The sequence below is a fragment of the Homo sapiens genome, chromosome 19, assembly GCF_000001405.40.
Source record: "Homo sapiens chromosome 19, GRCh38.p14 Primary Assembly".
In the NCBI taxonomy this organism is placed as follows: domain Eukaryota; kingdom Metazoa; phylum Chordata; class Mammalia; order Primates; family Hominidae; genus Homo; species Homo sapiens.
Genome location: NC_000019.10, coordinates 52,701,194 through 52,719,818, shown reverse-complemented (window position 1 = coordinate 52,719,818; position 18,625 = coordinate 52,701,194). Strand labels below are relative to the sequence as shown.

The 18,625-nt window shown below is 43.8% G+C and overlaps 1 protein-coding gene across 4 annotated transcripts in view, besides 1 other annotated feature; it reads left to right on the top strand.

The window, feature by feature from the left end:
* Positions 1 to 17,006, top strand: part of ZNF611 (zinc finger protein 611) — a 32,232-nt gene extending 15,226 nt beyond the window's left edge. For 2 of the 4 annotated variants that reach the window (NM_001161500.2, NM_001161499.2), the window contains 3 exons: positions 3,906 to 3,987; positions 5,678 to 5,804; positions 12,955 to 17,006. In NM_001161500.2, coding sequence (NP_001154972.1) covers positions 3,925 to 3,987; positions 5,678 to 5,804; positions 12,955 to 14,882 — 2,118 coding nt within the window. In that variant the 5' untranslated portion in view covers positions 3,906 to 3,924 and the 3' untranslated portion in view covers positions 14,883 to 17,006. Of the gene's footprint in view, positions 1 to 3,585; positions 3,709 to 3,905; positions 3,988 to 5,677; positions 5,805 to 12,954 lie in introns of all 4 variants that reach the window. The other 2 variants (NM_030972.3, NM_001161501.1) reach the window with 2 other exon arrangements.
* Positions 2,819 to 3,391: an enhancer, noted in NCBI's record as "OCT4-NANOG-H3K27ac hESC enhancer chr19:53219681-53220253 (GRCh37/hg19 assembly coordinates)". NCBI's record gives its function as "activates a minimal SCP1, AML or CMV promoter by ChIP-STARR-seq in naive and primed H9 embryonic stem cells {active_cell/tissue: H9 hESC(naive and primed)}" and the evidence as "EXISTENCE:reporter gene assay evidence [ECO:0000049][PMID:30033119]".
* Positions 17,007 to 18,625: the final 1,619 nt, after the last annotated feature.

Genomic DNA, 18,625 nt, shown 5'->3' with positions numbered 1-18,625 from the left:
CCTCTCTGAGAAACACCCAAGAATGATCAATAAATACTAAAAAACAAAACAAAACAAAAAAGAATGAAGCAAAACAGGAGAGGGGCATAAAATGAGCAGAAGTCCAGGGGGAAATGCAGAAAAGAAACAGATGGAGAGAGAAGGTGAGAAAGAGCTATGTATAGAATGATGGAACAGTAATGAAGATGAAGGGGGACCCTGGGTGCAGATGAGCGGTGAGTTGATTGGATGTGATGATGAAGTGATGACATGTTGCTTTCTCTGTTTATAAGGTAACAAATTTAAAATTAGTTTAAATTATACAGATGAGAATGAGAGTTGCCAAACTCCTGTGTCTAAGTGTGGTGCATTTTATAATGATGGCATCAGAGGCAGCTTCCCTCTGCAACCCCTCTTCAGCCAGAGGACAGTGACTTGACTCGTTAGTTGTGGATCACCCTCTTCCCTTTTCATGGCTGGGGTGGGGAGTGGGGGAGAGAAGTAGGGTAAGAAGTGACTGAGTCTCTGTTACTATATGGAACGTGATGAAAGGAGTATTAAAAGTGCTTTTGTTCTCTTTTTGTAATTGGTTTCCTTTTTTCTAGTTCCTCTTCATTTCATTCATGTGGTTGGTTTTTTTGTGTGTTTTTATTCATTTATTTTTTCTTTTTGAGATGGAGTCTTTCTCTGTCAGGCAAGCTGGAGTGCAGTGGAGTGATCTTGACTCACTGCAACCTCCACCTCCCGGGTTCAAGCAATGCTCTGCCTCAGCCTCCCAAGCAGCTGGGATTATAGGCAGCTGCCACCACACCTGTCTGACTTTTTATTTTTAGCAGAGACAGAGGTTCACCATCTTGGCCAGACTGCTCTTGAACTCATGACCCCGTGATCCACCCGCCTTGGCCTCCCAAAGTGCTGGGATTACAGGTGTGAGCCACCATGCTTTGCCTCATTAGTTGCTTTTCATTTTTTAAGTTTACTTTTAATTTACTTATTTTTGTTGTTGTCGGGTTTTTTGTTTTTTGTTTGTTTGTTTGTTTTTTGACTGAGTTTTGCTCTTGTTGCCCAGGCTGTAGTGCAATGGCATGATCTTGGTTCACTGCAAAGTTCGCCTCTGGAGTTCAAGTGATTCTCCTGCCTCAGCCTCCTGAGTAGTTATGATTAGAGGCACGCACCACCATGGCCGGCTAATTTTGTATTTTTAGTAGAGATGGGGTTTCTCCATCTTGGTCAGGCTGGTCTTGAATTCCTGACCTCAGGTGATCCTCCCACCTCAGCCTCCCAAGGTGCTGGGATTACAGGCATGAGCAGCTGCCGGGCCTTTAATTTCTGTTTTTTTGAGACACTCTTACTGCTGTCCAGGCTGGAGTGCAGTGGCAGGATCACAGCTCAGTGCAGCGGCAACCTCCTGGGCTCAAGTGATTTTCCCACCTCAGCCTCTGGATTCCCTGGGACCACAGGCACGCCCCACCAGGCCTGGCTAATGTTTAGATATATATTTTTATTTATTGAGACTCTGTCACCCAGGCTGGTGTGCAGTGGCATGATCTCGTCTCACTGCAACCTTCATCTCCTGGGGTTAAGGGATTCTCCTGCCTCAGCCTCCAGAGTAGCTGGGGCGACAGGTGTGCACAACCATTTCCTGCTAATTTTTGTATTTTTAGTAGAGACATGGTTTCTCCATGTTGGCCAGGCTGGTCTCGAACTCCTAACCTTGTGATCATGCCCTGGCCTCCCAAAGTGCTGGGATTATAGGCGTGTCACCATGCCTGGCCTCATTGTTTTCAAAGTATGGTATATTTTCAAATATTTCTCCTTTGACCCAAGATTTCATTAGATCTATATTTTTTAACCATTTTAAAATTGTTTCTCTATGAGATTGTGTTCAGTTTACATTGAGGTCTGTGTGCTTTCTAGTCTTTATCATATATCGAAAACGTTTTCTACTACGTGATATATAATTTTAGGTTGTTTCAGTGTGTACTTGATAAAGATATCAAGGACCTTTTTTCCTTACCCTAACATGAAAATTTAGTTCAAGTAGCCTATTCCATTTTCTTTCCTCATATCATCTGAAAAAATGGTGATCTGTGAGCTTCTAAGTAAGTGTCTCCCTCAATTCCCTCTGGTCCATAATATTCTCTACAGATGTTGAAGGATGGGCTGGATTGACTTGGAACCTTGGTTTAGCAGAGCCCATGTGTTCATGAGAAAAGCATTTGCTCAGATCCCATTTCTACAGCTGCCTCTTTTTCAGTGTTTTAAACACCTATTGCTGTGTGTGCACAGTTGTGTATATTTTGAACATTTTTCTCCTCATCTCCTACTTGTGCCCTCCTCTCTTCCACTGTTCCAGCCACACAGGCTGCTTTCCTATTCCTGGGGCTGAGGTTGCTCCTGTCTCAGGGCCTTCACTTGAGCTGTCCCTCTGCCTAGGACTCTCTTCCCCTCAGCTGCAAGTGACAAGCAGCCTTTCTTTTCTAGGTCCTTGTTCTGGTATCATCTTCTCCGGGTTTCCTTTGTGATCTCCCATTTGACATTGCCACTGTAAAACCAGAAAATCTTACACAGATCTGAGTTAATTTAGAAAGTTTATTTTGCCCAAGATAGTCGGGGCAGAGCTTAATTTTATACATTTTATGGAGACATGAGACATCAACATATGTAAGAAGTACGTTGGTTTGGTCTGGGAAAGTGGGACAACTTTAAATAAAGGCAGGAAGACTTGAAGCAGGGAAGGGGCTTTTAGTTCACAGAGAACTGAGGCACAAATGGTTGCAGTCTTTTGAGTTTCCTTTTTTTTTTTTGAGATGAAGTCTCGTTTTGTCCCCCAGGCTGGAGTGCAGTGGCACAATCTCGGCTCACTGCAACCTCTGCCTCCTGGGTTCAAGTGATTCTCCTGCCTCAGCTTCCCAAGTAGATGCCCGGATCAGTTTTGTATTTTTAGTAGAGATGTGGTTTCACCATGTTGGCTGGGCTAGTCCCTACCTCTTCACCCCAAGTGGTCTGACTGCCTTGGCCTCCCACAGTGCTGGGATTACAGTCCTGAGCCACTGTGCTGGGTCCTTCTTTTGAGTTTCTAATTAGTCTTTTGAAGGAGGCACTCAGATATGCATCTGTGTCAGGGAGCAGAGGGATGACTTTGAATAGAAGGGGAGTCTGGTTCCCTTGCAGTTCCCAGCTTGACTTTTCCCTTTTGCTTAGTGATTTGGGGCCCCAAGATTTATTTTCCTTACACACAGCCCAACCCTCACCCTACCCCTTCTCCACATTGCCTGTTCTGTGTGATTATTTTTGTGCCTTTGTCATCCACTGTCTGGATCCTGGTGAGAACAAGGCCCCAAGGGGAGGGCAGAGCCAGAACATGGGGCTGTGCTGGGCTCGCCCCCTCTGAGTGGAGCTCAACCCTGGCTTCACGTTAGAGTCGAGGCATTTTGCAAATAGAGCTTTTGTGCCACTTTAGCAGGGATTCTTATTCTGACGGGATGGAACCCACCCTCAGTAATACCTGCAGTGGCCCAGGTGCTTGTCATCTGTGTGCAGCATTGAGCATGGAAGCTCTGAGTCCTGCATTTCTGAGGGCTGACCTCAGCCTGTGATCCACAGAGAGGTGAGGGGCTGTCCTCTGGATGGCAATTGATGAAGGATGAGTCTGTGCCCTGAAGGGGAGATCAGTCCAGCCCAGCTCCCCACTGCTGCCTCGTGTGTGGTGGCTTCTCCAGGAGAGAGGTGAGATCTGAAGACTGGGGTCAAATATACACTCATAGGTCTTCCTGTGGGACTTCCTTATCTCTGCATGATCTCTGGTGCAGTGGGCAGTGGGGGACTTCTTTCTACAGGGTGACGTCTCCCCCGTTCGTGTGTTTTTGTCACAGGAAGGGAGTGAGTCATTTCTAACATGAAGTCTCATTTTTTTTCACATACAGGATTGATTCCTAAAGACTCATGTTACGTGAGGAAGCAGCTCAGAAGAGGAAAGGAAAGGAGCCAGGCATGGCTCTTCCTCAGGTGAAGTGATATTCCTCTGTGGATTAATCTGTGTCTTTCGTTTCTGAAATGCCAGGTATTGTAGCAGCCAGTCTTTTCTGAGTCTGAAGCATCTTGTCTGACACGTTCACTCGCACTCACCCATGCCTGCCCTCAGTTCCTCTCAGCTGCTCTGAGATTCCATCTCCTGTGACCCAGTGACATGAACTTGGGAAGAGGCTCCACTGGGCATGGTCCTGGGAAGGGCTCACACCCTGACATGGATAAACATGGGGTGTGAGCCCGTTGATGTCAGTGCTGCTGGGCAGCCTGGGTTGTTCACGGGCCACATCTGGATGTCAGCTCAGAGAAACTACATATGAAATACATATGTTAATGTGCACAGATGTGTGGTTAATTCTGGAAAAGGAGAATAATAAGGAGAGAGATTTTGTATCCGGCATGGTATCAGCTCACTGCAACCTCTGCCTCCTGGTTTCAAGCAATTCTCCAGCCTCAGCCTCCCCAGTATTGGGGATTACAGGCACCTACCACCACGCCCAGCTAATTTTTGTACTTTTAGTAGAGAAGGGGTTTCAGCATGTTCCCAGGCTGGTCTCGAACTCCTGACCTTGTGATCCGCCCACCTCAGCCTCCCAAAGTGCTGGGATTACAGGCATGAGCCACTGTGCCAGTTTTTAGATTTGGACTTTTCTTTGAAAGCCATTGGACTTTGTCCTCTCTGAAGCACCACATGTATCTTAGCTCATCTAGAGACTTAATATCACCCGGTATGTTGAACATAATATCTGGCATGTCTATAGAGAAAACCCTGTATTTGTTTTTTTGTTTTGTTTTGTTTTGTTTTTGTGTGTGTGAGATGGAGTCTTGCTCTGTTGCCAGGCTAAAGTGCAGTGGTGCGATCTTGGCTCACTGCAACCTCCGCCTCCCGGATTCAAGCGATCCTCCTGCCTCAGCCTCTTGAGTATCTGGGAGTACAGGCCTGCACCACAACACCCAGCTAATATTTGTATTTTTAGTAGAGACATGGTTTTGCCATGTTGACCAGGATGGTCTCAATCTCTTGACCACATTATCTGCCCGTCTTGGTCTCCCAAAGTGCTGGGATTACAGGTGACAGTCACTGCCCGGCATTGTTTTTTTGTTTTGTTTTGTTTTGTTTTTTGAGATGGAGTGTCAGTCTGTTGCCCAGGATGGAGGGCAGTGGTGCGAACTTGGCTCACTGCAGCCTCCATCTCCCGGGTTCAAGTGATTCTCCTGCCTCAGCCTCCTGTGTAGCTGGGATTACAGGTGCCTTCTACCATGCCCGGCTAATTTTTATATTTTTAGGAGAGACAGTTTTTCACCACATTGGCCAGGCTGGTCTCGAACTCTTGACCGCAAATAATCTGCCCGCCTTGGCCTCCTGAAGTGTTGGGATTACAAGCGTGAACTGCCATGCCTGGCCCTGTTTTTCCTTTTTATTTTTATAGTTTTTATATTGTCCATAAAATCGAGATTTCCGTAGTGACTTATGGGATCTTAAAATCTTTCAAGGAAAACTACAATAAAACGCAACTATAGGGAAAAAATATTCAAAAATACCTTAACATCCTTTTGTCAGAACATAATCTTTGATCAAATAAATACTTATTTTCTCATTTCTCATTTTCTGTGAAGGTGATAACTCATTACTCCATAATGTTTTGTTGAAATGTGTGTTTCATTTTAGGGACGCTTGACTTTCCGGGATGTGGCTATAGAATTCTCATTGGCAGAGTGGAAATGCCTGAACCCTTCACAGAGGGCTTTGTACAGGGAAGTGATGTTGGAGAACTACAGGAACCTGGAGGCTGTGGGTGAGGAAAATGTCCCTGCAGACATGAGGAGTCTGCTCTTGTCTATCTTGGCTCATCCTGGCTTTGTATCCTCTTTTGTGATTTTGCCCCATACATGGGTTTTGTTTTTTGTTTTTTGTTTTTGAGATGGTGTTTCGCTCCTATTGCCGAGGCTGGAGTGCAATGGTATGATCTTGGCTCACCATAACCTCCGCCCCTCAGGATCAAGTGATTCTCCTGCCTCAGCCTCCTGAGTAGCTGTTATTATAGGCATGCGAGACCACACCCAGCTAATTTTGTATTTTTAGTAGAGATGGGGTTTCTCCATGTTGGTCAGGCTCGTCTCTAACTCCCGACCTCAGGTGATCCACCCACCTCGGCCTCCCAAAGTGCTGGGATTACAGGCGTGAGCCACCATGCCCAGCTCATTCTGGTTTTTGAGGAGCATCACAGAAGCGTCTCTCACTGGCACTGTGACAATGTTCATCCCATAAACTAATGATCATCTTCTCTAAGCAGCAGTCAGTGGTGTTGCAATTCCTCCCAGCGAGGACATCATTCGGGCTCACAGCCTCATATGTATGAGGCTCTTGACTGAACTCTTGTTCATGTCACATTTTTCACACCAATATGTGTCACTGTTCATTTTTAACAAGAAAACCTATGTTCAGTTTGTTGTAGGATCAACCCTGTAAGAGATATGGTTTTCATCAATCTTATTGAGGAAGCTTTTGAGGTTGAATGAGGTTTCCATTGTTTAGTTCTACTGTCATTTCCTTAAGACACAGTGGCTTTCAACTTGTTCATTTCTATGTTGTTGTTTTTTTGTTTGTTTGTTTTGAGTCAGAGTCTCACTCTGTTGCCCAGGCTTGAGTGCAGTGGCATGATCTTGGCTCACTGCAACCTCCTCCTTTTGGGTTCAAGCGACTCTCCTGCCTCAGCCTCTTGAGTGGCTGGGATTACAGGCATGTGTCACCACACCCGACTAATTTTTGGTAGTTCTATTACAGATGGCAGTTTTGCCATGTTGGCCAGGCTGATTTTGATAGCCTGGCCTGACGTGATTCAGTTGCCTTGGATTCCCAAAGTGCTGGGATTACAGGCATGAGCCACAGCCCCTGGCCCCTTCCGAGTTTGTTTTTAAGGCTGAATAATATTCCACTGTATGTGTGTACCACATTTTGTTCGTATATTTATCTGTCAATGGACATCTGGGTTGGTTTCTTCTCTTTACTATAATAAATAATGTCAGCTGGGTGAAGTCGCACATGCCAGTAATCCCAGCACTTTGGAAGTGCGTGGGTGAATCACCTGAGGTCAGGAATTCGAGACCAGCCTAGACAATGTGGCAAAACCATATGTCTATTAAAGGTACAGTTTCTTTCTTTTTTTTTTTTTCAGACGGAGTATTGCTCTGTCACCCATGCTGGAGTGCAGTGGTGCAATCTCAGCTTACTGCAACCTCTGCCTCCTGGGTTCAAGCAATCTGCTACCTCAGCCTCCTAAGTAGCTGGGGTCATAGATGTGCATCACCATGCCCGGCCAATGTTTTTTTTTTTTTTTTTTTTTTTTTTTTTTTAGTAGAGACAGTGTTTCACCATGCATGCTGGCCAGGCTAGTCTTGAACTCCTGACAACATGATCCACCCACCCGTCTTCCTAATGAGCTGGGATTACAGAAGTAAGCCACTGCACTCAGCCTGGCTCTGTTTTCACAAACACATCTCTACCTACTCAGCCAGGGGATCCTTGTTCACCCCCATGGTCTCCTACATTGCTCTACTGTACTCTTCATGGAGTTTAGTTGTTTTTTTGTGTGTGTGTTTGTATGCATTTCTGGAATCTACACAGAGGATTTTGTTGAGTACATGCCTGAAACTAGAAGTCAGAGGCATTCAATTTAAGAGATGTAAAACTGCTTTCACCTCAGGCCACCGTACTGCTGCATTGTTGGATCTCTTTCATTCTTGTCCCTTGCCCATATTGTAATTTGCATATTTAACCTTGGGTCAATATGTTACCATTTGCTAAATTAGTTCCACTTTCCTCTAAGCTCAAGATTTGGTCTATCTTGGTGGAATTATATTCCCACAGAGGTGCATGCACAAAGTTCACTCCTACATGCCCATTACTTCCTGCCGTCCACCCTTGCCCTTCCTTTCCTGGCCTTGACTCACATGATACATTGATCTGGATGCAAATACCAGCCTATTGACTTTGTAAAAGTGAACACCCCAATTTCCCCGTGAGCCCCTCCCCTCCAACACTACTCTCCCTGAGTAAGTGAAGACCTTGTTCATCCACTGGACAAAATTATAGGAGGCCGCTTAAATCAGTGTGTGCAGGACATCATGACTCAGCACATGATCCATGAGGGATGGCTTCAGAACCACTGTCAGCAGCGCAGCTCAGCGCTTGTGTCCCAGCTCAGTCCTTGTATCCCCCTTGATGTACTTCTTTCTGTTCTCCTCATATTTTCTGTGTCTGGTCATTTCCTGTCCTGCCTGCGCTGACTATTGTGCCTAAGAACATGTCGTGGGATCCTTCATGCCCAGGATCAAGTCTTGTCCCTCACTTACCGTACGTGCAAACTGGGGTCATGTACATGAACACTGTGGGCCTGCTGTCATTATTTGAGAAATAATGTTAATTTGCCTCCAGGGTTGGTTTTTTTTTTTGTTTTTTGTTTAGTTTTGTTTTGTTTGAGAAAGAGTTTTGCTCCTGTTTCCCAGGCTGAAGTGCAATGGCACAATCTGAGTTCACCGCAACCTCCACCTCCCGGATTCAAATGGTTCTCCTGCCTCAGCCTCCCGAGAAGCTGGGATTACAGGCAAGTGCCACCACGCCTGGCAAGTTTTGTATTTTTAGTAGAGATGGGGGTTTCACCATGTTGGCCAGGCTGGTCTCGAACTCCTGACCTCAAGTGATCTACCTGCCTCAGCCTCCGAAAGTACTGGGATTACAGGCATGAGCCACTGTGCCTGGCCTTTTTTTTTTTTTTTTTAAATGGAGTTTCCCTCTTGTTGCCCAGGCTGGACTGCAGTGGTGCAGTCTCGGCTCACTGCAACCTCCACTTCTTGGGTTCAAGTGATTGTCCTGCCTCAGGACATAATCCCCCAAGTAGCTGGGATTATGCCTGGTGCGAGCCTGGCTAATTTCTGTATTTTTAGCAGAGATGGAGTTTCTACTAGTGATTCATCCACCTGCTTTTTAAAACAAATGAGTACTATTAGATGGCTTCATATAAGTTTTATAGTACACACTCAACTTCCTTTGTTTAATAATATTTGTCAGCCCTCAGTAATGTTGATGATGAGATGCCCCCTTTCCTGTCTCACTCTTTTCACTGTCCTGTTAGAAATAGCTTAGACTGGCCAGCCGCAGTGGCTTTGGCCTCTAATTCCAGCACTTTGAAAGGCTGAGGTGGGTAGATGGCTTGAGGTCAGGAGTTTGAGACCAGTCGGGCAAACATAATGAAAACTTGAACCTACTAAATTAAAAAACATTGGACGGGCATGATGTCTCACACCTATTATCCCAATATTTTGGGAGGCCGAGACGGGTGGATCACTTGAGGTCAGAAGTTCTAGACCAGCCTGGCCAACATGGTGAAACCCCATCTCTAGTAAAAATACAAAAGTTAGCTGGGTGTGTTGGTATGAACCTGTAATCCCAGCTTCTCGTGAGGCTGAGACATGAGAATCACTTGAACCTTGGAGTTGGATGTTGCAGTGAGCCATGATTGCACCACTTACTCCATCCCGGGTGACAGAGTTAGATTCTGTTTCCCAAAAAAAAAAAAAAAAAAAATTAGCCAGGCATGGTGGCATGTGTCTGTACTCCCTGCTACTCAAGAGGCTGAGGCATGAGAATCTCTTTAGGTAGGAGAATCGTGCCACTGCACTCCAGCCTGGGTGATGAAGCATTACTCAGTCTCAAAAACAGACAAAAAAAGAAATAGCTGAAACTGGAAAGCTTAAGACATAGAAATTTGTTGCTCATGAATCTGGAAAGTGGGAAATCCAAGAACAAGATGTCAGCTAGATTGGCTCCTGGTGAGAGCCTTCTTCATGGTTTAGCCCAGCCGTCTTCCTGCCGTGTCCTGATGTGGTGTAAAGAGGAGCAGGCAATGAGCTCTTTACTGTCTCTTTTTATAAAAGCACTAGTCTTTGCCGGGCATGGTGGCTCACGCCTGCAATCCCAGCACTTTGGGAGGCTGAGACAGCCAAATCACATGAGGCCGGGAGTTTGAGACCAGCCTGACCAACATGGAGAAACCACATCTCTACTAAAACTACAAAATTAGCCGGGAGTGGTGGCACATGCCTGTAATCCCAGCTACTCGGGTGGCTGAGGCAGGAGAATCGCTTGAACCTGCGAGGCGGTGGTTGTGGTGATCCTAGATCACGCTATTGCACTCCAGCCTGGGCAACAAGAGCGAAATTCTGTCTCAAAAATAAATAAAGAGTCCGGGCATGGTGGCTCACGCCTGTAATCCCAGCACTTTGGGAGGCGAGGAGGGCGGATCATGAGGTCAAAAGATTGAGACCATCCTGGCCAACATGGTGAAACCCCTTCTCTACTAAAAATATAAAAATTATCTGGGCATGGTGGTGCATGCCTGTAGTCCTAGCTACTCTGAAGGCTGAGGCAGGAGAATCGCTTGAACCCGGGAGGCAGAGGTTGCAGTGAGCCAAGATTGCACCACCGCACTCCAGGCTGGGCTACACAGTGATACTCCCTCTCAAAAAATAAATAAATAAAAATAAATAGTAAAGAGAGAAAGAAAAAAAGAAAGAAAAAATACAATTAAAAGCCCTAGTGCTATTCATAATTAGTCAACACCCATTACAAAACTCTCTAAAAGACCCCAACTGCAGGAACATCCTATTGGGGAATAAGAAATCTGATAGTGGCTTTTAGCCAATGCGAACATTCGGGCCAGGGAACATACATCATATTTTTTGTTCTTATTGTGCAATTTGTTTTATACAATGTTTTCTCTGATCTCAGTTAATAAATTTTCCTAGTACACATTCTATGTTTTATATTTTATGCATAGTGAACTAGATAACTATGGGGAATGCATATATATAAAATTGCTGTATTGCCTGGCTGTTACATAAGTGTAGTTGTGACATCATAATTACACTTTTCTATACTATTAGTCAATTCTTTCTTCCTTTGTTTATTTTTTTTTGAGACGGAGTCTTGCCCTGTCACCCAGGCTGGAGTGCAATGGTGCGATCTCAGCTCACTGCACCCTCCACCTCCTGAGTTCAAATGATTCTTTTGCCTCAGCCTCCAAAGTAGCTGAGATTATAGGCGCCCTCCACCAGGCCCAGCTGATTTTTTTGTATTCTTCGTAGGATGGGGTTTCCCCATGTTGGTCAGGCTGTTCTTGAACTCCTGACCTCATGATCCACATGCCTTGGCCTGCCAAAGTACTGGGATTACACGTGTGAGCCACCGTGCCCAGCCATTAGCCAATTCTTATTTCTTAAGATGCTGTGTATTTTCTTTATTTTATTTCATTTTTGAGACAGAGTCTCGCTCTGTCACCCAGGCTAGAGTGCAGTGGCGCGATCTGGGCTCACTGCAGTCTCCATCTTCCAGGTTCATGCCATTCTCCTGCCTCAGCTTCCAGAGTAGCTTGGACTACAGGCACCAGCCATCATGCCCAGCTAATGTTTTTGTATTTTTTTAGTAGAGACGGGGTTTCACTGTGTTAGCCAGGATGGTCTCAATCTCCTGACCTCGTGATCCGTCTGACTCGGCCTCCCAAAGTGGTGGGATTACAGGCTTGAGCCAAGGCGCCTGGCCTAATGCTGTGTATTTTCTTGGCCTCATACATCAGAAGGTAGTGATCTTAACATGTATTTCAGTTCTTATATTGTGTGCTGGTGGTTGAGTAGAAGTTGTGGCTTTTTTCTTAAGAGGGAGTTGTTTAGAATTCTGCAGGCTGTATAAATGTACTTATTTGCTTGCTGGTTTTATCTTGGGTTACAATATTTTATTAATTAATTTTTATAATTTTGCATATGGCTTTTCGGTATGTGGTATGCAATATAACTGACATGCACTATTCGTTAATGTCACAAAGTGCCACCAGGTGCAGTGGCTCACACCTGTAATCCCAGAACTTTGGGAGGCCGAGGTGGGTGGATTACTTGAGGTCAGGAGTTTGAGACCAGCCTGGCCAATATGGTCCCCATCTTTACTAAAAACACAAAAATTAGCCAGGCATAGTGGTGCATGCCTGTAGTCCAAGCTACTCTGGAAGCTGAGGCAGGAGAATCACTTCAACCCAGGAGGCAGAGGCTGCAGTGAGCTGAGATGGCACCATGGCACTCCAAGCTGGAGTGCAAGACTCCATCTCAAAAAAATAAAAATACAAAAAATTTTTGAAAAGTCACAAAGTGCCTGTTCTTATAGGTAATTTTATGACATTTATTCAGAAAAATATTCTATTAACTTTTTTTTTTTTTTTTTAGGTAGAGTCTCACTTTGTCACCCAGGCTGGAGTGCAGTGGTGTGATCCTGGCTCACTGCAACCTCTACCTCCCAGGTTTAAGTGATTCTTGTGCTTCAGCCTCCTGAATAGCTGTGACTACAGGCATGGGCCACCATACCTGGCTAATTTTTGTAATCTTTTCTTATCTTCTCAGTGCTATAATTGTTTGACAATACGGAATTTCCATTGCTTTTGGTTATCCTTACATGAGCTTGTTGTGGATTATTTACCAATATAGTATGTTGTGTGGGGAGTTTTTTTTTTTTTTTTAGCATTTATTTGTATAGAGTAAATATGCTTTAAATATGAAGAGTATATATTTTTCTCTTCACCGATGTGATGGTGATATGCTTTTTGCAAATTGTGATACAGTTCAGGGTCACAGTGGAAAAATACTCCTTACTTTAGGCTTACACATGTTTGTGCCCTGTCAGTGTTTTGTCATGACATAGGAAATAGGCTTTCATAGAATTGTCTTGAAGGACATGTAATCACCCTTTATTTACTAAAGAATATTGCTCCTTTCGTTTTCCTAAACTTTGAAGATGATGTTTGGGAAGTTCAAAATAAGTATCGTTTTTTGTGTCATATTTATGCACTTCAGTGTGATTTACCATCTGTACTTAATTGGAAATGTATTGGTGTTTATATTTTGTAGATATCTCTTCCAAATGCATGATGAAGGAGGTCTTGTCAACAGGGCAAGGCAATACAGAAGTGATCCACACAGGGACATTGCAAAGACATGAAAGTCATCACATTGGAGATTTTTGCTTCCAGGAAATTGAGAAAGAAATTCATGACATTGAGTTTCAGTGTCAAGAAGATGAAAGAAATGGCCTTGAAGCACCCATGACAAAAATAAAAAAGTTGACTGGTAGCACAGACCAACATGATCACAGGCATGCTGGAAACAAGCCTATTAAAGATCAGCTTGGATCAAGCTTTTATTCACATCTGCCTGAACTCCACATATTTCAGATCAAAGGTGAAATTGGTAATCAACTTGAGAAGTCTACTAATGATGCTCCCTCAGTTTCAACATTCCAAAGAATTTCCTGTAGGCCCCAAACCCAGATTTCTAATAACTATGGGAATAATCCCCTGAATTCTTCATTACTCCCACAAAAACAGGAAGTACACATGAGAGAAAAATCTTTCCAATGTAATAAGAGTGGCAAAGCCTTTAATTGTAGCTCACTCTTAAGGAAACACCAGATACCCCATTTAGGAGACAAACAATATAAATGTGATGTATGTGGCAAGCTCTTTAATCACGAGCAATACCTTGCATGCCATGATAGATGTCACACTGTTGAGAAACCTTACAAGTGTAAAGAGTGTGGCAAGACCTTCAGTCAGGAGTCATCCCTTACCTGCCATCGTAGACTTCATACTGGAGTAAAACGTTACAATTGTAATGAGTGTGGCAAGATCTTTGGTCAAAATTCAGCCCTTCTAATTGATAAGGCAATTGATACTGGAGAAAATCCTTACAAGTGTAATGAATGTGACAAGGCTTTTAATCAACAATCACAACTTTCACATCATAGAATTCATACTGGAGAGAAACCTTACAAATGTGAAGAATGTGACAAAGTTTTCAGTCGGAAATCAACCATTGAGACACATAAGAGAATTCATACTGGAGAGAAACCATACAGATGTAAGGTTTGTGACACAGCTTTCACGTGGCATTCACAGCTGGCTCGACATAGAAGAATTCATACTGCAAAGAAAACTTATAAATGTAATGAGTGTGGCAAGACCTTCAGTCACAAGTCATCCCTTGTATGCCATCATAGACTTCATGGTGGAGAGAAATCTTACAAATGTAAGGTTTGTGACAAGGCTTTTGTGTGGAGTTCACAACTGGCAAAACATACTAGAATTGACTGTGGAGAAAAACCTTACAAGTGTAATGAATGTGGGAAGACCTTTGGTCAAAATTCAGATCTTTTAATTCATAAGTCAATTCATACTGGGGAGCAACCTTACAAATGTGATGAATGTGAAAAGGTTTTCAGTCGTAAATCAAGCCTTGAGACACATAAGATAGGTCATACTGGAGAGAAACCATACAAATGTAAGGTTTGTGACAAGGCTTTTGCGTGTCATTCCTATCTGGCAAAACATACTAGAATTCATAGTGGAGAGAAACCTTACAAGTGTAATGAGTGCAGCAAGACCTTCAGTCACAGGTCATACCTTGTATGCCATCATAGAGTTCATAGTGGTGAGAAACCTTACAAGTGTAATGAGTGCAGCAAGACCTTCAGTCGCAGGTCATCCCTTCATTGCCATCGTAGACTTCATAGTGGTGAGAAACCTTACAAGTGTAATGAGTGTGGCAATACCTTCCGTCACTGCTCATCCCTTATATACCATCGTAGACTTCATACTGGAGAGAAATCTTACAAATGTACAATTTGTGACAAGGCTTTCGTGCGTAATTCACTCCTGTCAAGACATACCAGAATTCACACTGCAGAGAAACCTTACAAGTGTAATGAATGTGGGAAGGCTTTTAATCAACAATCACACCTTTCACGTCATCATAGAATTCATACTGGAGAGAAACCTTAGAAATGTGAAGCATGTGACAAAGTTTCCATTTGGAAATCACACCTTAAAGACATAGGAGAATTTATACTGGAGAGAAAGCTTACAAATGTAAGGTTTCTGACAAGACTTGGGAGTGATTCACACCTGGAACAACATACTGGACTTCACACTGGAGAGAAACCTTACAAGTGTAATGAGTGTGGCAAAGCCTTTGGCAAGCAGTCAACACTTATTCACCATCAGGCAATTCATGGTGTAGGGAAACTTGACTAATGTAATGATTGTCACAAAGTCTTCAGTAATGCTACAACGATTACAAATCATTGGAGAATCCATAATGAAGAGAGATCTTACAAGTGTAATAAATGTGGCAAATTTTTCAGAGATCGTTCACATATTGCAGGTCATCGGTGAACTCATACTGGAGAGAAACCTTACAAATGTCATGACTGTGCCAAGGTCTTCAGTCAAGCTTCATCCTATGCAAAACATAGGAGAATTTATACAGGAGAGAAACCTCACAAGTGTGATGATTGTGGCAAAGCCTTTGCTTCACGTTCACACGTCATTAGACATCAGAGAATCTATACTGGACAGAAATCTTACAAATGTCATCAGTGTGGCAAGGTCTTCAGTCCAAGATCACTCCATGCAGAACATCAGAAAATTCATTTTTGAGATAACCGTTCCCAATGAAATGAGTATAGCAAACCATCAAGCATTAATTGACATTGGAGTCAATTCAGCATTGACTTGAGTTTGTGTTGACTTAACATTGAGTTCAAGCCTTTATTGACATTCAAGTGTTTATGTTAAGAGGATGGGGCCAGGTGTGGTGGCTCCGACCTGTAATCCCAGCACGTCGGGAGGCCAAGGCACATAGGTCACTTGAGGTCAGGAGTTTGAAACCAGCATGGCCAACAGATGTGAGCCACTTTTCTCAGCCTGTTTTTTGTTTCTTATTTTCTATTATTTTTTTGAGCCAGTACTTTTTAAAGAGATAGTACTTTTTTCAGTTAGTACTTTTTGAAAGGGATATATCATAGTAATTTTTAAAAGGGATATGAGGCCAGGCACGGAGGCTCATGCCTATAATCCCAGCACTTTGGGAGGCCGAGGCAGGCAGATCACGGGGTCAGGAGATCGAGACTTTCCTGGCTAACAGGGTGAATCCCTGTCTCTACTAAAAATACAAAAAATTAGCTGGGCATGGTGGCTGGCGCCTGTAGTCCCAGCTACTCCAGATGCTGAGGCAGGAGAATGGCATGAACCTGTGAGGCGGAGCTTGCAGGGAGTCGAGATCGCACCACTGGGCTCCAGCCTGGGCGACAGAGTGAGAGTCTATCTCAAAAAAAAAAAAAAAAAAAAGGATATCAAAGCCTCGGTACGTGGTGGCTCATCCCTGCAATCAGAGTACTTTGGTCGACCCATGTGAACTGGTCACCTAAGGTCACAATTTCAAAAGCACCCTAACATGGTGAAACCCCATCTCTACTAAAAATACAAAAGTTAGCCGGGGGTGTTGGTGTGCACCTTTAGTTCCAGCTACTTGGGAGGCTGGGGCATGAGAATTGCTTAAACCTAGGAGGTAGAAGTTGCAGTGAACCAAAATTGTGCCACTATACTGCAGCCTGGGTGGCAGAGTGAGTCTCCATCTCAAACAAACAAAAAATAACAAAAAAAGACCTCAAAAATGCTTTTCTTCTCGTATAATGGACTTCCTTCTTTTTCTTTCTGGTTCCTCTTCATTTCTCTCTTTATTTTTTATTTATTTATTTATTTATTTTGCAGTTTGAGTTTGAGATAAATCTAAGTTATAAAAGTTGTATTTCTTAATACATAATGACTTCTGAAAGATGCCTTTGCAGCATCCTATAATCAGCTCACATCATTCGTTTCTGTACTTGTATATTTTCCAGTTATTTTCCGGTTGACCCCAGAATTCGTTAGATTTTTTTAAAAAACAATTTCAAAATAGTTGCTGTTTTAAATTAGTTGCATCCAGTTCATATCAATGTCTGCATGCTTTCTAGTCTTTGTTATTTATTGAAAACCTTTGGTACCTAAACTTAAGTTTGATTGTTTCAGTGTGTACTTGGTAAATATGTCAGTGGCCTTTTAACTAAACATCAAAATGTACTTTAACCAGTTAGTCTGTTTTTCAGTTTTCTTTCCTTATGTCCTTTGTTAAAATCTTGATCTGGGAGCTATTTATTGCGTGTTTCCCTCAAGGCCCTCTGGTCCATTCTGGAAAAATGTTGAAACATGGGCTGGATTGGCATAGAACGCTCCTCCAAAAGCACCCGTGTATTCTTTTCTTTTCTTTTTTGAAATGGAATCTTGCTCTGTCGCCTTGGATGGAGGGCAGTGGTGCAATCTCAGCTCACTGCAACCTCTGCCTCCTGGGATCAAGTGATGCTCCTGCCTCAGTCTCCTGAGTAGCTGGAATTACAGGCACCCACCAGCATGCCTGGCTAATTTTTGTATTTTTAGTAGAGACGGGGTTTCATCACGTTTGTCAGGCTGGTCTCAAATCCTGACCTTGTGATCCACCCGACTTGGCCTCCCAATGTGATGAGATTACAGGTGTGAGCCACTGCTCCCAGCCTCGGTTTTTTTTTTGTTTTTCTTTTTGTTTTTTTGGGGGTTTTTTTTTGAGATGGAGTTTTGCTCTTGTTGCCCAGGCTGGACTGCAATGGTGCGATCTGGTGTCACTACAACGTCTGCCTCCTGGGTTCAAGTGATTCTCCTGCCTCAGCCTACCAAGTAGTTGGGATTACAGGTGCCCTCCACCACTCCTGGCTAGGTTTTTGCATTGTCAGTAGAGACAGGCTCTCACTGTGTTGGCCAGGCTGGTCTCAAACTACTGACTTCTGGTGATCTGCCCACCTCGACCTCCCAAAGTGCTGGGATTACAGGCGTGAGCCACCGTGCCTGACCACTCATGTATTCTTGATTGAAACAATTTGCTTATGTCTTAGTTGTACACCTGACCTTCTTTCCCTGTTTCCAAGGTCAATAGCTATGTGTTCACAACTCTGCATTTTATAAATGTTACTGTGATTTTCTTGTAAGGAAGAACAAACTGTCAGGAGTCAATGGCCTCAGAACCTTGCAAAAGAAGTTTGTTTCTTTTTTTTCTTTTCTTTTTTTTTTTTGGAGACGGAGTTTCGCTCTTGTCCCCCAGGCTTGAGTGCAGTGGCACGATCTCGGCTCACTGCAACCTCCGTCTCCCGGGTTCAAGTGATTCTCCTTCCTTAGCCTCCCAAGTACCTGGGATTAGAGGCATGCACTACCACTCCTAGCTAATTTTGTATTTTTATAGAGACGGGGTTTCTCCGTGTTGGTCAGGCTGGCCTCAAACTCCTGACCTCAGGTGATCCACCCGCCTCAGCCTCCCAAAGTGCTGGGATTACAGGCTTGAGCCACCGTGCCCGGCAAAAGAAATTTCTTTAGCCCAGGTTTGTGAAAGAGCCTTCTCTAATTTTCCAGGATGGGGGTGATAAGATCAACCCTTCCCATTAGTCCCTGCAGGCCCCCATGTAAGAATTCAGGCACACCTCACTCATCTCAGACCTTCTCAGGGCAACTTGGTGAAAATGTCTTCCAATCTGAGCCCCAGTGAGCCTCCTTGGAACTTGGCGATGAGGGGCTACACCAGAAAAGCTCAACCCTAGTGACTTTGACCCCTGAAATGATTGACAAAATGGAGTGCGTGTGTGGGTGTGGCTTTTTTTTTAAATTTTTTTGAGGAGAGGAGTGCC